This window comes from Homo sapiens, chromosome 12 (genome assembly GCF_000001405.40).
Source record: "Homo sapiens chromosome 12, GRCh38.p14 Primary Assembly".
Taxonomy (NCBI): domain Eukaryota; kingdom Metazoa; phylum Chordata; class Mammalia; order Primates; family Hominidae; genus Homo; species Homo sapiens.
Window position 1 is genome coordinate 116,007,735 of NC_000012.12, and position 21,728 is coordinate 116,029,462.

At 36.6% G+C, this 21,728-nt stretch overlaps 1 protein-coding gene across 8 annotated transcripts in view; it reads right to left on the bottom strand.

The window, feature by feature from the left end:
* Positions 1-21,728, bottom strand: part of MED13L (mediator complex subunit 13L) — a 319,118-nt gene that overhangs the window by 49,159 nt on the left and 248,231 nt on the right. For all 8 annotated transcript variants that reach the window (XM_047428608.1, XM_017019090.2, NM_015335.5 and 5 more), the window contains 6 exons: positions 14,722-14,867; positions 12,044-12,238; positions 11,490-11,678; positions 7,375-7,540; positions 5,063-5,167; positions 667-1,398 (listed from right to left, as the gene is read on the bottom strand). In XM_047428608.1, coding sequence (XP_047284564.1) covers positions 667-1,398; positions 5,063-5,167; positions 7,375-7,540; positions 11,490-11,678; positions 12,044-12,238; positions 14,722-14,867 — 1,533 coding nt within the window. The remainder of the gene's footprint in view (positions 1-666; positions 1,399-5,062; positions 5,168-7,374; positions 7,541-11,489; positions 11,679-12,043; positions 12,239-14,721; positions 14,868-21,728) is intronic.

The following is a 21,728-nucleotide window of genomic DNA, read 5'->3' on the forward strand; positions in this document are numbered from 1 at the left end:
TAGTGATTTGCTTTTACAGTTTATATTCATGATTAAATAAAAATTAGCATACTTTGTCAAGAATATATGTTTTTGTCTCTGGGTCCATCAATTCCACTTAAGAGCACAGGTTCTCAGGACAGACTGCCTAGTTTCAAATTCCATCTGTGTCATTTACTAACTGCATGGCCCTAGTTTCTCAGTTATAAAATTAACGTAATAATATGGTACAGTGAAGATTAAATGAGATCATCTATGTAAAGTTTTAGAATGGGTGGCTCAAAAGAGCTATAAATATTATACTAGATACATGATACATACACCTGAATGCAGGCAAAGCCTTCCTCAAAAATGTCAACATACAAAGAAGGCACTGACAGCAGTATGGAAAGTCTTATAAAGCTATATTCTTTAATTAACAAACAGTAGGGCAAAAATGTATTAATATATTTGGAGTGTACTTAAATGGCATAAAGAGTTCTTTATATGCCCATGTGTCAAATGACATGTGTGCTAACCTATAAGTAGGACAAAGCATTTGACCATTAAACATTTTCCATATCCGGAGTCAAGAAGGACAAAGAAAAGCCTACTTCAATTTTGAATCTGAAAGTTTAGCAGGTAGAGATGGGGAGGGAGCCCATGCCCTTCCGGTGGACGGGTGGGTGGTGCAGAGAGCTGTCTTACCTTTGCAATGCAGTGCTCTCTGAGTTTACCTCCATTTTGGCATCACATCTCTCACCCTGGAGCTCTGGAGGCCTGAACTCAGCATCATCACTGGGTGGGAGACGATAACTATGCCACCACTTTTCTGATGACTCCGGGTTCGAGGGCCTAATCCCACAATATAAGGCTGTCTCGCTGACCTCTGCCATGAGAGGCAGTCTTTGGCCTACGAGGACAGTTCTGTCATCCAGAGTAGACAACTGCTGGAGTTCTAGTCCATTTCCATAAAGGGCTGGATTCACAGGGACCGATGGTGGGTCCAAACTCTCTGTTTCCTGACCTCGTGGCTGAGGGCTGAGTGTTGGTGGCAGAGGGGATATAGGGGAATGAGGTGAATCCATAGGATTCAGATTCATTTGCTTGCTTGTATTTCTGGAAGGCACGGCCATTTGCTTATCATATTTCCTACTGCTAGACACCTCTAAGGAGGAGTCTATCCCTGCCAACCCTAGTTTCTGTCCTGGTGTATCTTGCTCCATGCATAATTCTTCGGCCACAGAGGGCCTATGGTGAAATGGTATTAAGGGTCTCTTTTGCAGCTTGTCTCCTTTTTCCTGTCTTTCTGCTGTTTTGTGCTTAGAAGAAGCAGGAGGTGGTAAAGATGAAGATGATGATGGTCCTGCACTGAACCCTGGTTGAGATACTGTGGGAGGTCGATTGGGCCCGACTGCACAACGTTTTAAAAGCTTATGCCTAAAATGAGAGTAAACAATTACATCATTATAACATTAAGAAAAGAGATTCTCTGACAAAATTTTGCCTTTTAAAGCATACATTAGATGTACTAATACATATAAAAGGGCTCTAAGTTTTTAATTATACTTATATAACTAAAAAACACAATACACCCCAATGAAAAATGAAGAATCAATCACATACAAGTTAAGCAGATAAGAAATGGGCACAGCAAAAGATGTAAGGTACATTGCTAATCCCTACAAATCACTGATTCAAAAAAACCCAAATCTTTTAGATTTGGTGAGGGCCTCAGATAACCTATTCATACTGCATCTTAAAACCATGAGAGTAGAGTCATGAGATTCTCTGCCAAGAAACAACAAAGCTTCCAATTTCTATTTTATAACACTCTACTAACTGTAATATAGAATGGCTTATAATGGCTTGTAGTGCTGTAAATTGGGAATAAAATAACTACGCAACTACTCTGCCTCAAAGTGTGGAACTAAAACAGTAAGTTTCAATCCTAAGAACATTTAATAGGATAAATATACTAGAAACTTTATGTGCCACTATATCTAGGCAAGAAGGGATAAAAGACAACTTTGGATCTTACAGACACACGTTAAAATGACAGAAGTTAACACCACACATACACAAATGCACCTGAACCATCTAAGCAGAAAAACCAAGTCGGCTCACATCTTAACACACTTCTTGGCAAGCATGGGTGTGAAAAATGGCTCAGTAAGAGCCCACTACATGATGCCAAGGTTTAATCTGTACAACAAAGTTATACTGCATGTCAGCCAGTACCTCCCAATATATAAATCATTCCCGGGGAAAAATATGAGGTCTCCTGCCGGTGTAGTAGTAACTCTCTGAGGCCACTAGGGTGGCATTAAATTACTGCTGCATTGCCCTAAATGATGCCCTAGTGAGCAGTAAAACGGATTTGTGGGGCATAATGGGATGGTTTAGTGGGACAGCAGGATGGCTGCCCTGCTCCATAAGGCCATTAAAGAGTGGAAGGAGTGGTCTGTACCATAATGGGTTTGGTAATCCTGCAGCAGATAATCTGCAAATACTCTTGCCAAAGTCTTTGCTACTCTAAAAAAATAAAAACAAACACTCCTGAACTTCTTGTCTTTAAGCTCAATGAGCATGGTACCACAGTAACATGTGAACGTCTCATCAGAAAGTATCTCAATAACTTATGAAGGTACTTACTTTAAAACCTAAAATTTAAAAGTCTTTTAGACTTTTTTTCTCAGAGAGCATTTACCCGCACTAGTTCTTTGAGAGACACTTTATGATACCCTCTTCAAAGTAAAGATTTTTTGCAAAGTGGATAATCTAATCATAAAGTAAGTTTTTTCAACTGTATTTAATGATTCAGCTACATTGCAAAAAGGTTAGAATGAGGAATGCACAGTAGGTAGGAGAGAATCACAGTGCGTCTCAGCAGGAAAAGAACCTGATGCAGGCAGTGGGAAAATCAGACGAAGTCGGCACACTATATGGGTGACTGGTGGTAGGAAGAAACCTGAGGCAGGGCCCAAGCATGTAGAAATAGATCATGACTAAAAGAACAAGGAAAGGAGAAGGATTACAATAGGCATTTCAAAGGAAGTCAGTGTGAAATCCAGTGACAGATTACATCTAACAAGTCTGTAGGCTGGGAAGAGAAAATTGTGATAAAAATGACCACAATAGGGTTCCAGGTTTGCAGGGAAGCATACATGGCAAAAATTAAGGATTTTTCTTTTTTTTTTTTTTTGAGATGGAGTCTCGCTCTGTCTAGGCTGGAGTACAGTGGTGCGATCTCGGCTCACTGCAACCTCCGCCTCCCGGGTTCAAGCAATTCTCCTGCCTCAGCCTCCTGAGCAGCTGGGATTACAGACACGCACCACCATGGCTGGCTAATTTGTGTTTTTGTTTTTTTTTTAAGTAGAAATGGGGTTTCACCATGTTGGTCAGGCTGGTCTCGAACTCTTGACCTCGTGATCTGCCTGCCTTGGCCTCCCAAAGTGCTAGGATTACAGGCGTGAGCCACTGCACCCAGCCTAAGGATTTTTCTTAAAGGCATCCCCCAAAATACAAGACTATGTGAAAGTCAGGTTGGGACAGAAGTTGGAAAGTCAATGGAATGGTGCCTTGGTATGCATATGGTTATAAAAAAAAGACCTGAAGATATATGCATTTGGCAAAGAAATACAACAATAATTCCAGAAAACAAAAAGCAAAGCATTATTTGTTTATTTACACTTAACGTGTTACAAAAATAATTCCAGGTAGCTAATAAAAATGTGTAAAAGTCAGTAAATACGTTATCTTTTTAAGTGAAAAAATCTGGGCTAAGGAAAGAGCAGGGAAAATAAGATGAAAGAAAAGTTAAATACACTACAGTTTATATCCTATGTATGTGCTAAAGGCGGGCCTTAACTTGGCTGTGAGCTGTCCATAAGTCAAAGTTACTGGGAAAATACTTTTTGTCACACAATTCACAAGAGCCTAGAGACAAGAGTAAAGTAGGTATTCACCTACTAACACCAGAGAGAGGCTCTCACATGCTCAGAGAGGGAACCCTTAATGAGCAAGCAACTTCTTCAAAAACATCCTCCCTGAAAAATCAATAATGAGTTTCATTAGGCTTATCCTTACATCTCTCAACAAGAGGCTACCAAGGCAGAGCTCGATAAAGAATCAATTCAAGGGGCAGGGGAGAAGAGGAAAACGTGTCAAAGCTGTTCCCTAAGTGTACACACGCAGCAGTCTGCATATATGCAGGGGGCGTATGGACTACCTCCTCAGCCTGAAGCCAAGTCACTCATGCTACATTAAGAAACCCTGATCTCACCAGAGACATGAATGGCCATCTTCTAAATATGCTTATCTCACCTGAACTTTTTATCAACATTGAACAGTATCAAATTTGAAAGTGTATATTTCAGAAGCAGGGCTACTCAAAATAGCCCAGTCGTGGTGAAAAATCATCACCACTTCTTCTAACTGTCAAATGAGCTGGGGGTTAAGACTTATGCCCAGTTAAAGAATTTAAGAACCCTAATGAAAACCTATGATGGTAAGATTCTTTACTACAACAAAGAGTGGTAAGTCAATGGAATATCCATGAAGAATGCAAAAATTTTCTACAAAAAAAGCAATCTGAGGACGTATCCAAAGAACTAAATGAATAAGCAAGGTATCATTACTGCAACAGTTTTAGCTTTTAGCAGTTGTGACCAAATACCTGTCTCGATCAAAAAACACCACTGCTAGCAACAAAACAAATTATCTACAGAAAGTCTCTTTAATCCAAATTCTATTGACTCAAGCCCATCTGTTTTTAATGTATCTCTACTTTAAAATTAAGAGTAGTTAAATAAAGTCATTTAAAGGGCTAAGAACTGTCTTGTCAAACTGATGCCTTTAGTTTTGAAGCTGCTAACCAGAAAAAAGTTGTGGGAGCAATATGTTAACAGGGCCGATTGTCTAACAAACTCTGAGTCCTGACAATAAAACTGTATCATCTGCATATAAGAAAAAAACTAATCTTTTTCTTCTCTACTGGAGGAGAATGGAGAATCAGGAAGAACTGATCTGTGAGGCCAGGAGATGAATCAACAAGATGCGCCATCATTCGATCCATTACTATTTTGCCTTTTTTATTACCTACCTGGAACAAGAACAGCTGACTCTTTGGGTTGGATCCACAAAATCCCAAGTAGCAGGATTGCTAGCAGGCTCTTCTTCAAGAGTTGGAGTTGACATTTGGCTCCTCCTAAAAGGGTTAAAAATGTGACTTATGTGTGAACATAATACCCATACCCCTGGGGAGAAAAATGTTCAAGAGTTGAATACATTTCATTCACATAGTAATGGTATCCTGCTGACATGTAGTTCAGAGCAACCAATGAATAAAACAACCTGTTTTATGTACTGGAAGCAGGATTCAAAATGTTTCCATTTGGCTGGGCGCATGTGGTTCATACTTGTAATCCCAGCATTTTGGGAGGCTAAGGTGGGCGGATTGCTTGAGTCCAGGAGTTTGAGACCATCCTGGGCAACATGGCAAAACCCCATATATACAAATACAAAAATTAGCCGGGCATGGTGGCGCTTGCCTGTAGTCCCAGATACTTGGGAGGCTGAGGTGACTGCTTATCGGTAGCATATGAATTCTGAGTCAGGAATGATGGTGATGCCAAACAATCCCAGATTATCCACATGGGTGGCTGAGATAGACACCCTTGCTTACTCAGGGTTCAATGTACACAAACTTTGTTTCATGCACAAAATTGTTTTAAGACATTGTATAAAATTACCTTCAGGCTATGTGCACATGAAACATAAATGAACTTTGTGCTTAGACTTAAGTCCCATCCCCAAGATATCTCATTATGTATATGCAAATATTCCAAAATCTAAAAAAAAATCTGAAATCCCAAACACTTCCGGTCCCACGAACTTTGAGTAAGATACTCATCCTGTAAAATATTTACTAGCATTTAAGAGCAGCACTCCTAATGTGAAATAGAAAATAGAAGTATCGCCTACATATCACTGATAATTGGTAGCGAAAAGCAGATCGCTTTATTATACAATGAAATAACAATAAGGGGCAATATTTTTGGATTGCTGATTTTGCTACAGCAGATACTGCAAAGTGTTTCAACAGTGGCTCTACAGGGAGTTCTCCCACTCTCTGCCCTCCACTGCCCTCCTGGTTGTCTCATCTCCCTGTTCTGTACTGCTGAGAAAGGGACTATGATCTGTTAAGAGTTGTGGAGGTGTAAGGTTGATGGTGATTAAAAATCAAACATGATAAGTGAAAGGAAAAGAAAAAGAAAATGTTTACTTGGAAATAATCTAGGCATTGCAGATGGAAGTAAAAATATCTGTACCAATTATTCTAAAGGAAAGGACCATTTTAAAGTGACTAGAGATAACTTTTTAATTCTAGAATGTGACATGATTTTCCACTGCAATTATTTTAGAGCTCTCTACTACATCTTCAATGGACTATTCTAGAATCAATTCATTGGTCAATATTTAGTATGAAATTGCTAAAAGCTGGGTCCAAAGGACAGGTTTTAAATCTGTATAAAAACTTGGAACAGTAGTCACTTAAGAAACATTTCATTGGCTTCTAAATGAGGGAAGTTATTGGATTTTACTGACATGCATGTCCATATTCATTCTGTTTCAGAGAATCAAGACTCATTTGTCTACTTTCATTAGTCAAGAAAGCAGACATCTACTCATATTAAAACAGAGATGAAACTGTGCTGATTATGTTTACATAAATCTTGATAAGTGGAATAGTACTTATTGACTCCTGTTTGTCATTACTGTTTAGGCAATTAAAATAATCAGCAGCAGTCTTTTCTAAAAATCAATTCTCTCCTTTTCCAAAAGTATGTTAAAGAAGAAAGGCAGGGAGACTGGAAAGGAAGGAAAGTTAGGTCAGGGAAGAAAAGAACATAATTTTCTCAAATCAACAAACAGGAGCACGGCAGATAATAAACACCCCTCCAACTGTCATCAGTCTAGTTCAAAAATGTATTGTTAATTACAACTAAGGCCTGTATACAATAGTAAATCAGCAAGGAAGGTTCTTTCCCTTCACAATAGGGACGCATTCATACATTGATATGCAAGGAAAAACCAAACCCACTGGTTGCTGTCCTGATACCCATGGTGAATCCCTGTGCCAGCTGTGCTACAAAATATTAGGTCAACACCATGCCAATCTGTACAGTATCAGGAACTTCAAAAAGTTCCTCGATAATGAAATCAAGTACAGTAAATGTCTTGATTTTAACATATTTATTTCAAATTTTATTCTATTAAATTCAAAAAGATGAAATACCAATGATGACCTCTCAAGTTTGGTCACACAATAGTGCAATGTGATTGACATTTTCCAGGTAGCAATCAAGGAGATGGTTACTAAACTATGATCTAGACATAATCGAGAAAACTTACTTGGACTGGGTTCTGTTGAGGATGCATTCCTTCCAGACTCGATGGACCATATGATTGTGGAGTTTTGGAGGAATCTTCCCCGATCTCTTTGGACTGTGCATCGTTATCATCCCTCCATCTTGGGAAACCAGGTGACTGGCAGCACTCTGCATACCTCCACTCTCACCTGAAAAAAAAGGCAATTTGGAATGTTAGGATTTTCTGAAAAGGTTTCCTACTTCATAGACTGCTATCTTATTAACATAAATATGCATTTTAATTGTTGAAAGTCATATACATAGCTTTTTCCCTATCCCCTGGCAATAACACTATCTATAATCATGAGTAAAATTTCTATCAGAATGGATTTTTTTCCCTGGAACTCTGTCTGTATGATTCTTTGTTTTTTCCCTAAATCAATTAATCAGATGAACACTCACACAACCATAAGGGCACACACATACATAGGCACTCCTAGTCCACATGTATTGGAAACAACTTAGAAGCAAGGGTACATACATCACAATATTAAAGATGCAAACCTCCACTGATTGTTTTAGATTTTTAAATCTTAACACAGTCAATGAGTTTCAAGGCAAAAGGGAACAGTAGAGGGAGCTTTATACTCATGTAGCTAAATGGCTGTATATCAGCAGCACACAGTGCCCTGGGTAGGAAAAAGAAAGTAATGGCACAAAGCTTTTAACAAGGTCAAATTTCAAATTTGTGTGTGGTACTGTTTGTCCTTATGCCTGACACTATGTATTTAAAACTTAGTACTACGACACTGAAAGAGGTTGTCTTGACATTTTATTTCAGAGGATTAAAAATTCACTGGTTTCTCTCTAGTAACTCCACTTAGTTTTTTCAAATACAGTGGTTATAAATATAATCTATTTCTTTCAACTATGTTCATTATGATTATTGATGATACTGGTTGTTGTTTACATTTTGAGTATTTTACTACTTCTATCTTATATAAGACAAATACTAAAGTCAATTTCCAGTATTAAATTCTGATTGAATCACTTTCACCTATTTGACTTAGTAAGTATATATTATGGATTTTCTTCTCAATAGAACTATGATGCAAAACACCTTAACGAAAGTCAAGGTGAAAAAGAAAGAAGCAACTTTATAACACAAACTAAGTATTCTTATTATCAATGAAAGATGATGATGATACAAGCTGAATGGTCAGGCTTACGTCTATTTAAAAAAAAGACCCAAATGCTTATATTCTAAGGAAATGAAGCGCTCTTCTTTCCGATAAAAGTATTACTATATTACAAATGAGATAAGAAATTTGAACTTTGCTACATTTTAAAAGTTCCCAACTTGGTTCATGATGCAAAAGAATTAATTTCAATTTTACAATTGCTTTTCAAACACCAATTATAAAACTAGGCAAACTAAAGAAATAAACAGAAGTATGAAGTAGATAACATAGACCTTCTCTCCAAAACATCCTATGATATAGCTAAAGAGATCATATGCCCATGGTATCATAAAGAAACAATTTATGACCAAGAAAAGAAAAGAGTAGGGAGAAACAAGCCATAGAGACTTTTCTGACTAAAGCTAGGTTGAAGCTTTTCAGTGGCACTTAAATGACTGAACTAAAATCTGAGTGGTATCTTAGATGGAATTAAACAAGACTTGTTACTCCAATCTGTTAAAATGCATGTTGAATGTTGTTACTTGCAATTACCTCTACATATCAAACAAAGAGGCAAGTGGATATACCAATCCAAATAAGGTATGAGTAATGTCACTAATACTATTCGGCCCTCCTAAGCCCTCTGCTAATCAAGGAGAACCTTGGTGTTTTTTAGACGGCAAAGTAGCCCATTCTGTCCTATATCTAGAAAAATATGGCATTCAACTACAGAATGTCAAGGCTGACCGGGATACTCTCTGATACAGCATTAAGACTCCTAACCTGTAATTCAACATCCTATGATATGAAAATTTAGGCAAATTCATTTTACTACAAGGATATCGGCAGCTTTTGTTCAGTTGTGTGTGTTTGTTTTAAGGAATAAGGCGACATCAGGGGATTTATTTATCCAAGGCCTAACACAATAGCATACAGAGTTAAAGGGGAAGGAATTTGAAGATCCATAGTTAATTAGTCCACACTGAAATCCCCCATCAAAAAAAACCTCTTGTTTCTGAATTATGACTATTAAGAGTTCTGAACTGACCAGAGGTCAAAGCCTCATTTACACAGCAGGCCTTCAATTTTAAGTTGAATACAAATTTCACTAAGTACAAGGCAAAACAAAAACAAACAGATAACAAGTGGATAACTTAATGTAGTGCAATTGTTAAAAATCCAAATTGTGATGTGAAATTAAAAACTTCAAAATACTGATAATTCTAATTTTTATATTCATATATCTTCTCTATGATGATTACTACAAAAGACTATGAAAGTTCTTTTTTAGTTTAATATAGTTGATTGATGATAAATCCTTTCACAAGGAATCATCCAAATTCTCTGCTCTACCAAATGAAAGCCGCAAGTACTTTTTTATTTTTTTGAGATATGGTCTAGCTCCGTCGACCATGGTGGAGTGCACTGATGCTGTCTTGGCTCACGGCAACCTCCACCTCCAGGGCTCAAGCCATCTTCCCACCTCAGCCTCCCAAGTAGCTGGAACTACAGGCATTTGTCACCATGCATAGCTCATTTTTGTATTTTTTGTAGAAACAGGATTCCACCATGTTGCCCAGGATGGTCTGAAACTCCTGAGCTCAAGCGATCCACCTGCCATGACTTTCCAAAATGATGGGATTACAGGCATGAGCCATCATGCCTGGCCTTGGATGTACTTTTCTTTTCTTCTTTTTTTTTTTTTAACCATCTCAGCAAATACATGGTTCTTAAAAACATACATGTCCATTTCTATGTCTCCCACAAAACATCTGAGTAATTACCTCCAGACAATGTGTGCTAAACTTCGAGTTTTGAATATTGCTTTAAATTATTGCTACCACTTGTATATGACTTTATTGTTTACCAAGCACTTGTATATATTACCTAGTATGTACAACAACACGGTAAAGTATGTATTTATCAGAAAAAATAACCAAGATTCAGAAAAACTACGAGAATTAAATAAGGTCACTCACCTTGTAAACGATATAGCCAGGTTTTACAACGAGGTGCGCTCAATCACAAAGTATATGCTTTTCCCCAATATCTTCTTTAACTATAAACATTTATTTAATGCCCACTAATTGCCAAGAATTGTGCTAGAAACTTTCAAATTTTGTCTTACTCTGGTAATTTTCATGAGGATTACGTATGTATCATGCTTGATAGTTTATTTTCAAAGTTTAGCAGCCAAGGCTTTATTTACTCTAATGTTCCTGCCAGCTTGGCCCACATTCAATGCTTATAAATAAATAATCTCATTTCGGCTCAAGTATGATGAGTATCCTTTCCATACTGACCACAGTTCTAATTAAAGTGAGGTCAACTACAACAATAACAAAGTTAATATAGGAACTATACTACTCAATAAAGAAGGCAAAAATGTTCCCAATTTAAACAATTTCTGAATTTTTCCATGAAGACAGGCAGTTCCAACTGTCAAAACTGTCCCATATAATTAATATTTATTATTAATGCAGACACTTTACTGACAGAGAAAAGTATTTATTCAGAGCTACTAAGCACTAGTCTAACTTTACATCTAACAGGGAAAAGAGTTGTTCAAGGCCTGTCCCTGGCTGACAATGGTCACCGGGGCAGAGGCTTCAGCTACTCTCTGATTTAGTATTCTTCAGTTGTTCAAAATTAAAAAAAAAAAAAACAAAAAAAAACCCTACATTTTATCTATATGTGAACACATACACACATACAGGGGCAGATGTGTGTGCAAACTTTAACAGAATCTAAACTATTTAATAACAATAAAGACTAATATGGACAGAGTTAAAATTCTGAAGTGTATGAATTCTGTTTGTTTATAGTTTTCCTTCTCCATTTTGTAATATCCTTACGTTACTCTACTACCTCCATCTCTTCCAACAGGAATTTCTGTTTTCTCACCTGTTCCATGGCAGGTAGACTATACAATTGTCTGAGATCTCTTCTCCCCAGGACACTCCTGGATCCTACTCACCTAGGATAGCCTGTTCTGGAGAGGTGGGAGGGGTCAGAGGCATCCCACAGTTACTTGGGTCCTTCACACTACCAAGCCCTTGCTGCCCAACTGCAATGTGGCCTCCAGCACTGGCAACACTCTGAGGAACCGGGATGTCATTCTGAGAGATCAAAACAAATGCTGAAGGGTAAACCATCCGAACACCACCTATAAGCAAAGAGAACAAGGAAAGAATCAGGACTGAGAAAGAATTCATACAAGACTTCCAATTTTATGATTCCAATGGTGAAAATGAGATGCTCATGAAGTACTGCCAAAAGTGATAGGCTCCATTCTTTCATAAGTTAATAGCTGTTTAAACATGTGTTCCAACATGATGATAAGAGCATTTGGAATACAAGGACCAAGGGTGCTTCAGGCAAGATAACTACTCAGTACATACCATTGTGTCAAGAGAATTTCTTTAAAAAGATGGGTATGGAGATTATTTCTGAAGAATCTAAATGATTATCTTTTTAAATTAAGGAAGAGGAAGAAGAATAAAGTTCTTCAGGCAAAATATTTTCTCTTACCAACAATTACTTCAACTGCCACAGGGAAATCATCATCATATCCCAACTCGTCTTCCTCTTTCGATTCTTCTTTCTTTTTTAGCACCATCGGGTAGAAATACTGCCATTCCTCAATCAACTTACGAGTGGCTGGGTCTGACATCTTGTATGCTTGGCCTGTTAGCGTCCCATTTAAGCCATAAGGACTTACCAGTACTATGGAGGGGAGGAGAAATACATGCTAAACATTAGAGAAATAATTCCTACTTAAGTGCAACACTACATATGTGGTAATTTTAGGTTACAGTATCACTTAATGTGCATTGTTCTTTATTTCCTAACTCTATTTAAAGTATGATTTAAAAGAAATTTTTTTAAAAATTATTTTTGTAGAGACTGGGTCTCACTATGTTGCTCAGGCTGGTCTTGAACTCCCAGGCTCAAGTGATGCTCCCGCCTTAGCCACAAAAGTATGATATTTTGAAGTTTCTTGTTTTAAAATTTCTTATTATTTATACACCTCTCACCTCCCACAATTTTTAAACGAAATAAAATATGGATAGTACAATGTTATCAGACAGCTATGCTTTGAAGCATATACATATCTGTTTAATAATAGCCTGTACAATGTAAACACTGACTCTCTCAAAACAGAAGAAAATCATTCAACATGGAGACCGCAAATGCTGCCTAAAACTTGAACACTCTTGTGGTTCCTGAGACTCCCTAAACATCTGTGGTAATCAAAGAATAACATATAAATGAAATTTCTAACAGTGGGAAAGTTTTAATGTACAAAAGCTTGAAGCATAATAGTTATCGTTTCTGTTTTGACTGTTTTAGAGGTCTGTTGATAAAACAACTCTAAGTAAAATTTGATTTAACTCAAAGTAAAGGACCCAAAGTCCTCTATCTTCTTTCAGTATTTGACCTTGATGGCATTTTCACTGAGTCAGACACAAAAATATAGTTAATATAGTACTGTGAATTACCCAGCCAGTTCATAGCCTTGAAGTGAGTACTTCAATCTTCCAAATAATACGTTTCTGAAGATAAAGGCCACTTTTTCTTAATTCTAATTTTTAACAAAAACTCAGCATGGTCATTAAACGGAATGTCTTTTTTTTAATTTTTTTAAAGAGCTAGATCATATGTCACATCAATCAAGAGAGAGACAGTTATAGACATCACATGTATCGTTGAGTCTTTCTGCTGTTCCTCAATGATCCAAATGGGATAAAAATACTGACTCCAACTAACACAGTTAATCAAGGGTAATTTTTTTGCAATAATGCTTCCAGGAAATTCCCACATCAATTTGGATAATTATGATGAATATAATTATCCATAAGGACAGCAACTGCCTTAGTATGGTCTTCCTCCACACCAATCATGGAAAATAAGCAGAATAATGCTCCACAAAAGTATTCTATGACTTCCATCAGTGACAAAAATCAGAAAAATTAAAAGTGGTCTATAGGGACCTGGTATTCCTAATATTATTGTTCCCAACATTGAAGATTAGAAATAAGTTCTCTTCCCTCATGACTACTTATTCCTCTGTTATTACCATAACTAAATGCTTTTATTCTGAGTGATAAAATGTTGGATGGAGTCAGATGGTCCTCAGCACTTTTACACTCAAGAAAACAGTATTTTAAAAATTCTGATAAGCCATAATTTGCAAATACTGTACAATTTGTACTGTACAGTTTAAGAATTGGGTTTTGAATTTTCTAGTAGTTTTATTATATTTGGGGCAAGAAACAGATGCTTTCATTGAATTAAATCAGAATAGTTTATAGAAAACAAAAAATAAATACAATGGAGGCTAAATGCTCATGACAGGCTTTTACAGCAATTATAATATTTTAGTCAAGTCTGTTAAAATATCAGTGTTTTTTAAAATTATATTGTGTGATATGCTAAGACTATTTCAACCAGTCATCTCTAATAATGACATATTAGACTGAACCAAAAAAAGATTGTTTCCATACGGTTCAATCTAATATTATAACATTTAAAAGCTGTTACTCACAGAAAATTCTGAATTCCAAAGACAAAACTAAGATTTGTAATGCTCAGATCAAAAGGACATGAAGTTATTTTGGTGATATATAGGTGGTAAAGCTGAGAATTAATGAAAATATGAATGTATCAATTACATTTAAATTACAGCTAAATACCTATTACCAATGGAGTTTAAAATTAAAACAAAGTTAGGAACATCGCTGAAGAAACTATACACTGTATAATTCTAGAACTTTGATTCTGATAGAAATTTCAAATACTAAGTATTTGGTTTATCTTCTATAAACCATTACATTCCTAAAACCTTGTTAATAAACACAACAATGAAAACCTTTAATTTGTGACTTTGGTCAATTACTCATTGAATTCTATTTTTCAAGTATTTATTGATTTTCTTTTGTTCTGAAGGAAATTCTACATTTTATTCTTACAAAAGAATACACATAAGACCATCTTATATATGCGATAAGCTTCAGCGAAAAACTAACACACTATTACTACTTAATTATGAAATGGTAGTCTTTTCTTCCTTCTTCAAAATCTGACCCTTATGCTTAGCTTTAAAATGTCCATTTAAGATAAGGTCTCACCCTGCAAAACTTTACTGGGCAAGATGGTTATCCACTCGGTGGCGGATAGGGGTGGAGAGCAGGAACACCCATACTTACCTTGAAATGGTGCAGGTGAAGACTGAGCCATGTGTATATGCTCCTCATTGATCAAATAAATTGGCTGGTGCTGGGCAATCTCCACACTTGTGCATACATTACTTTCTCCATGCAGAAAGAATGTGAAAGCACAGGACAAATGCTCACTACAAAAGAGAGAATGAGAAACTCAACTTTATATTTTGGTAGGAAAGGGTGCTAGAAACAGGAACTACAGGTAAGATACAGCTCTACTTTATCAACCGTCCAGTAAGGCTGACTTCTAATTGTGGGCAAAAGAGAAACTTCTAATTCAGTATTGACAAACTAAGCCATCAGATAAATCTGGAAATACGAATATACTGCATTGAGAACTTTTGTAAGTTACTGTACAAAATGTTTCCAGTTTCATTTGCATAAAATCTAACTCTTATGCCAACTATAAACACCTAAGAACAGAGAAGGAATTGGAATAGTTTTCTATTGTCTCAGTGTCTAGCACAAGACAAGCACTCAAAACGTGTTAAGTCAAATAAATGAATAAACACTTAAAAGACTTATTTTTTAAAGTGGCCCACTGACCCAGCATAACAGCTCACACCTGTAACTCCAACGTTTTGAGAGGCTGAGGCAGGAGGATAACTTGAGGCCAGAATTCAAAACCAGCCTGGGCAACATAAGACCTCATCTCCACCAAAAATAAATAAATGAATTAGCCAGGCACGGTGGTGTGCACCTGTAGTCCTAGCTCCTGAGGAGGCTGAGGTGAGAGGATCGCTTGAGCCCAAGGGTTCGAGGTTGCAGTGAACTGTGATCAAGCCACTGCACTCCACCATGGACAACAGAGCAAGACCCCTGTCTCAAAAAAAGTGGCTTACGAACAAGATCAGAAGGCAACCCCTCAGCACATTTTTTCAAAATTGTAACTTTGGCCCTAAGATAGCCATAACACATCTCCATTTCTCAAAACATCTCGTAAGAACATTTTCCTGATGAAACAAAATCACTTTTACTAAATAAAGCCAAGCAACCACAATTTTTAAAAGTCATCTCAAAGATGCTGCTTCTTTTCAAAACTTCTCTAAAGTATTATAAAGTACATTTGGAGTACTACTCAAAAAAAAAATGTTGTTTCAAGTGCAAAATCATAATGCTTGAAAGGAAAACATGAAATAAAATTAAAATGTTTCTCTATCACATAGTGACACATATATATTCTCCTTTGACCAGTATGTTTAGATAACATTTTTTGTTTTACCAAAATATGACATTTCACCAGTAGGAAACACCCAGTCTTGGTATCTGGGTATTTAACATGACAGAGTAAATTCAAGATAGTGACTACAATTTTAAAAGAATTTTGAAAAAAAGTTTTAAAAACCCTTGATACCATACTTCTAAGTTCACAAAAGCAAAAATGCACATAATTTGAACATCTATAGGTATAAAATAATATAAACAGTAAAAATACTCTGTCCTTTATGAAAATGACACTAGAAACACACCATCTTCTACATACAACATTATGTCTGGCACATTAAATAGGACCAAAATATAGTTTTACTGATTGTGGATTGGCTTATTTTTCAGCTGTAAATTTCAGCTAAGGGAGTTTGAGCTGACTTATCCCTATTCATGCCCAGTATCCCATGTAGTTACTAGCTTATTTATAAGAAGCTGGTGGGAGAAATAAATGTAGACTACAGCCATAGAACATGTTCTCTATTCCACCGAGTCCCAACTGTGCATCAGAACAAATACAACCAACATTTATCTAAGAATGGTGCAAGGAGCCTGAAGTGACACTGAAGAAAACACAGTCCTTGCCCTCAAGGAGCATATTCACTAGCAAGAGACTGATATGAAAACACATGAATAAAATAAAGCCAGGCACAAACATACAAATAATAACAAAATGCCATAGAAAGGCTAACCAGTAGTGATTTCTTCAATTTAGAATATACAAACAAATGCTTTAAGAAGAAAAGAACAAATGAAAATTTGAGAAACGTCCATTCAGGTATTTTGCCCAGCTTTTAAATCTGGTTGGTTTCTGCTACTGACTTGAGTTCCTTAGATATTCCAGATATTAATCCCCTGTCAGATATATAGTTTGCAAATATTTTCTCCTATTCTGTGGGTTACCCTTTCACTCTGTTGGTCAGTTCCTTTGCTGTGCAGAAGCTTTTTACTTTGATATAACCCCATTTTCTATTTTTGTTTTTATTACCTGGACCTTTGAAGTTTTATTTTTAAAATCCTTGCCCAGATCAATGAATGTGAAGAAGGATTTCTCCTATGGTTTCTTCTAGTAGTTTCATGCTTTTTTTTGGCGGGGCGGGGGGGGGGGGGAGGTGATCTTGTTTTTAAATTGAGAAATAGGGGTCTAGTGTCATTCCTCTGCATGTAGAAATCCAATTTTCCCAGCATCATTTTTTGAAGACACTATTCTTTCCTCTAGTATGTGCTCTTGGCACCTTCTTTTAAATCAAGTGTCTGTTGATAAGAGAATTTATTTCTGGGTTCTCTATTCTGTTCCATTGATTTACGTGTCTGTTTTTATGCCAGTGTCATGCTATTTTGGTCACTACAGCTTTACAGTATACTTTGAAGTCAGGTAGTGTGATGTATCCCCCCACCACTGCTTTGTTCTGAAAATAAAACATGCAAATGGCCAACAGGTATATAGAAAAAATGTTCAACATGAGTAATCATCAGGGAAAGGAAATCAAAATCGCAGTAAGATATCCCTTCACTCCAATTAAAATGGACATCATCAAAAAGATAACAGATAACAAGTGTTGGCAAGGATGCAAAGAAAAGAGGACCTTTATACACTGTTGGTGGGAATGTAAATTAAGACAGCAATTATGAAAAACAGTATAAAGATTCCTCAAAATGTTAGAAATACAACTACCATATGATCCTGTAATCCCACCACTGGTGATATACCCAAAGGAAATGAACTCAGTATGTCGAAGAGTTATCTGCACTCCCTTGCTTATTCATTATTATTCACAATAGTTAAGATATGGAATCAACCTAAGTGTCCATCAAGGGATGAATGAATGAAGAAAATGTGGTATATAATACACAATGGAATACTATTAAGTTATAGAATGAAATCCTGTCATTTGAGACAACATGGATGAACCTGGAGGACATTATGTTAAGTGAAACAGATCAGACACATAAAGACAAATACCACATGATCTCACTCACATGTGGAATCTAAAAAACCTGATATCATATAAGTAGAGAACAGAATTGCCATTATCAGAGGCAGGGGAGGGGAAGGGAAGAGATGGAGGAGGTTAGCCAACAGTTACAGTTAGAAACAATAAGTTCTAGTATTCTATTGCACAGTAGGGTAACTAGTTAACAATAATGCATTGTATATCTCAAAACAGGTAAAACAGACAATGTTCTTACCACAGAAAAATGATAAATGTTTGAGGTTATGGATTTGTTAATTACCCTGATTTGATCATTACACGCTGTATACAGGTATCCAAGCATCACTTTGTAGCTCATAAATATGTACAATTATTATGTGTCAATTTAAAATAAAATAGAATTCAAAAAAAGAAAGAAAATAGGGTTTAATAGTAAAAAGAAAAAGTAAGAGAAAACATGAGGCAAGGAACAGATGTGGTTAAGAGAAGGATATAGTTTGGAATGGTGGGATGTGACTGGAAAGGAGTCAAAAAAAGGATGTCGGGGGCCATCCCTTGAGACATCGGAAGACTCGTATATGCAAAATAACAGGCAGTTAATTTAAGGATTGGTTTTAGAAAGTCTAAGGAATTGTTATAAAAATTTCAAAATAGTATTCATTTGAATTTGCTATGTCCCAAAACACAGACAGTTGAGAAGCATAAATAAAAAAGATTAAAATCGAATCAAGGATCTTTTATATTGATAACTTAAAAAACAAAATGTCCTTTTAAAAGAGGCACTGAAAACAAGAAAAATAGAAGTTATAGTGGAAATATAACAGAAGCCACCAGTAACTATATATTTTTGGCAAGTTATTTCATCACTCTGATCAGTTTCCATAGATGTAAAAGCACCTGTTAGTGCAGACTGCTGGGCCCCTGAGGCTCTGATTCAGGAGGTTTAGGGTGGGCCCCATAAATCTGCATTTTTAACAAGTTCCCATGTGATGCTGCTGCTGCTGCTGCTCCTGGCTCAAAGACCACACTTTGAGAATCACTGGATTTGATAATGCCTAAATCCCAACTATTAAATTCTATTTTTTCTAAGATCATGTAAAACAAGGACAGGAATGACAGCACTGACACTAGAAAGTTGAATCCCCCTGTGACCTAGCAACAGCACTTCTAAGAATTTATCCCATATATAAAACTATGGTATAGAGTACAGATTATAGCACTGCTTGTAATAAAGTCTGAAAAACACTAAAATGTCCATCAGTAGTGGACCTGTTAACTAAACTATGGTATGTAAGCCACAAAGTAATGCCCTGCAGCCATGTAAAAGGAAATGATCACACTGATACGGAAACACCTCCAACAAGGACTATTATGAGAAAAAAGGAAAAAGGTACAAAACAATATGAGTAATATACACCCAGCTGTATAAAATGTGAAAGTGGGGAGAAAAATATTTCCACACACAATTTGCTTACAATTTGCATGTGGCATAACATTTTTCTGAACAGATCATTTAAAAAACCTAATAACAGCTGGGCAAGGTGGCTCACGCCTGTAATCCTAGCACTTTGGGAGGCAGAGTTGGGCAGATCGCTGAGCTCAGGAGTTCAGGACTAACCTGTGCAACATGGCCAAAACCACATCTCTACAAAAAATACAAAAATTAGCTGGGTGTGGTGGCACTGCCTGTAGTCCCAGCTACTCGGGTGGCTGAGGTAGGAGGACAGCTTGAGCCTTTGAGGTTGAGGTGGCAGACAGCCCAGATCATGCCACTGAACTCCAGCCGGGGTGACAGAGAGACTCTGTCTCAAAACAAACAAACAAACAAACAAACAATCCCTAATAATTTTGGTTCCCTCGGGGAATGAAACGGCATGACTAAAGGGGAAAGAGAGAATTCACAATATTCTTTTATACTTGTTGAAATGTGGGATCATGTGTCACACAGAAAGCAATGTGAAGGCAAGATCTGAGGAAGCCCTTGCCTCCTATCCTTATGCAGCGCTGCTTGTTGGCCCAACCAGAGGAGTGCTCTAGAGAAATCCGCGGTGCTTCCATGTGTCATATTTGGTGCTTAAGTCAAAGCCTGCTGAGACCCTGATTTTGTAATCCAACATACAAGTTACTTGCTTAGCAAGCCATCAATATCTTTATCCAAAGCAATGCTAAAAATGGTGAAATAAAAACCGCACTGAGAACAGAATCCTGTGCCATCTCATCAGATAACTCCAAGTTACAAATTCAACAATGAGTTGTCACTCACTCATTCTACTCTAAAGAGAATAATCAAAAAGATTATGTCAAATGTCTTGATAAAATATGGACACACAACAACTATCATATTTCTCTGATCTAGAAATGTGCCTGCAAGTAAAATTCCGGTGTTTTCATACAAAGTCCACCCTCCTTCATTTCACAGATGAACCAATAGGGCTAAAAAGACTTTAGTGTGCCCAATAACACTTCTAAATGCACGACTGGAATTGGCCTTAAAATTCAATGTTCTTTCTACTAGCTGGCTCGTACATAAGTGGGAATGTTCATTTATATTAACTGTATCAACTTAAATTTTAATTTGTTAAAATGAGATCAGATTTGAGAATGAACATTGAAGATAAGGGGTTCTATGAATACAATTATAGATATGTTAGGGTATACAGTGTTACATGAGAAGTGGGAGGTAAATCTTTATTACAAGCTCTATACCATGTTCTTGCTTCTTGTCACTTATTACTCTTTTTTACCTGAACCTTTACTCACCCCATTTATTTCATATACTTTCATTAAAAATTTTAAGACTTTGGAGATTATTAAGGTCAACCTCTTTCTGATTCGGGGGGAAGGCAAGATTGAGCCCAAAGTTACACAGCAAGTTCAGAGCACAGTTGGAATAAAAACCTGGTCCTTCTTCTTAACATAGTGTTTAGTACATCCAAGATTTTCTACCTTAGATCAATGCTGCCTTCACCCCTATTCAACATCAACATAAATCAGACACAATGTAACTTAAACTAGTCCCGGCATCAGTTCTACTATCTCCCTAACTGCTATAGGCCAGAAGATACTATCAAATGAATACACAGAACCAAAAACATGGCAAGGTCAAAGGAAAATTGGAGCTTCACCCCTGTTCTCTTAGGGGCACACCACTTGACAAGTATTCCACGCCTTCTCAACTCTGTTTATTCTCCACTCTTTACTCAGTGAATCAGGTCTGATTCAAGTAATTCTTTGTTTAACCTCTTTCTCACCTTAAAAATCTCTGTAGTTAAACTTAATTCACCCTTCCCTAGAGATTACTTTCTCTCTGTGAAGGTACTCCTATACATACTCTCTTCCATCACGAATAATCTTTATGTCTTCCTCAATTTGCTTCAGGTAACCCAACGCTGAAGCACCTCCTCTTGACCATGCTACCCTTTTCTTCATCCTCTACCAACTAATATCAAGTAACTAACATATAAATAAAATGATAAAAAATGGAGACATTAATACTAGTATCATCAGTAAATAATCTACATAGAAATGAGATAAAACTTTTCTAAGTATTATAAAAGAAATAAATAAGGAACTAAGAAAATAATGGGAGTTGGGGTCTATTCTAAAAAGGGATTGGTCAGAGAAAAGCTTCTCTGAAAAAAAAAAAAGGGGGGGGAGGGAAGCATTTAAACTGAGGTTTAAATCATAAGAAAAAGGAAAGTGGTAAAAAACCATTAAAAAAATTGAAACTTATAAGTGCAAAGGTATGGAGAGTCTGCCATTTTTAAAGACATTTTTAAAAGGCAATGGTGGCTCTATCACTGTGCAAATGAAAAAAACTAGTGTAATTAAACCTACTGAAAAGACAAAGAT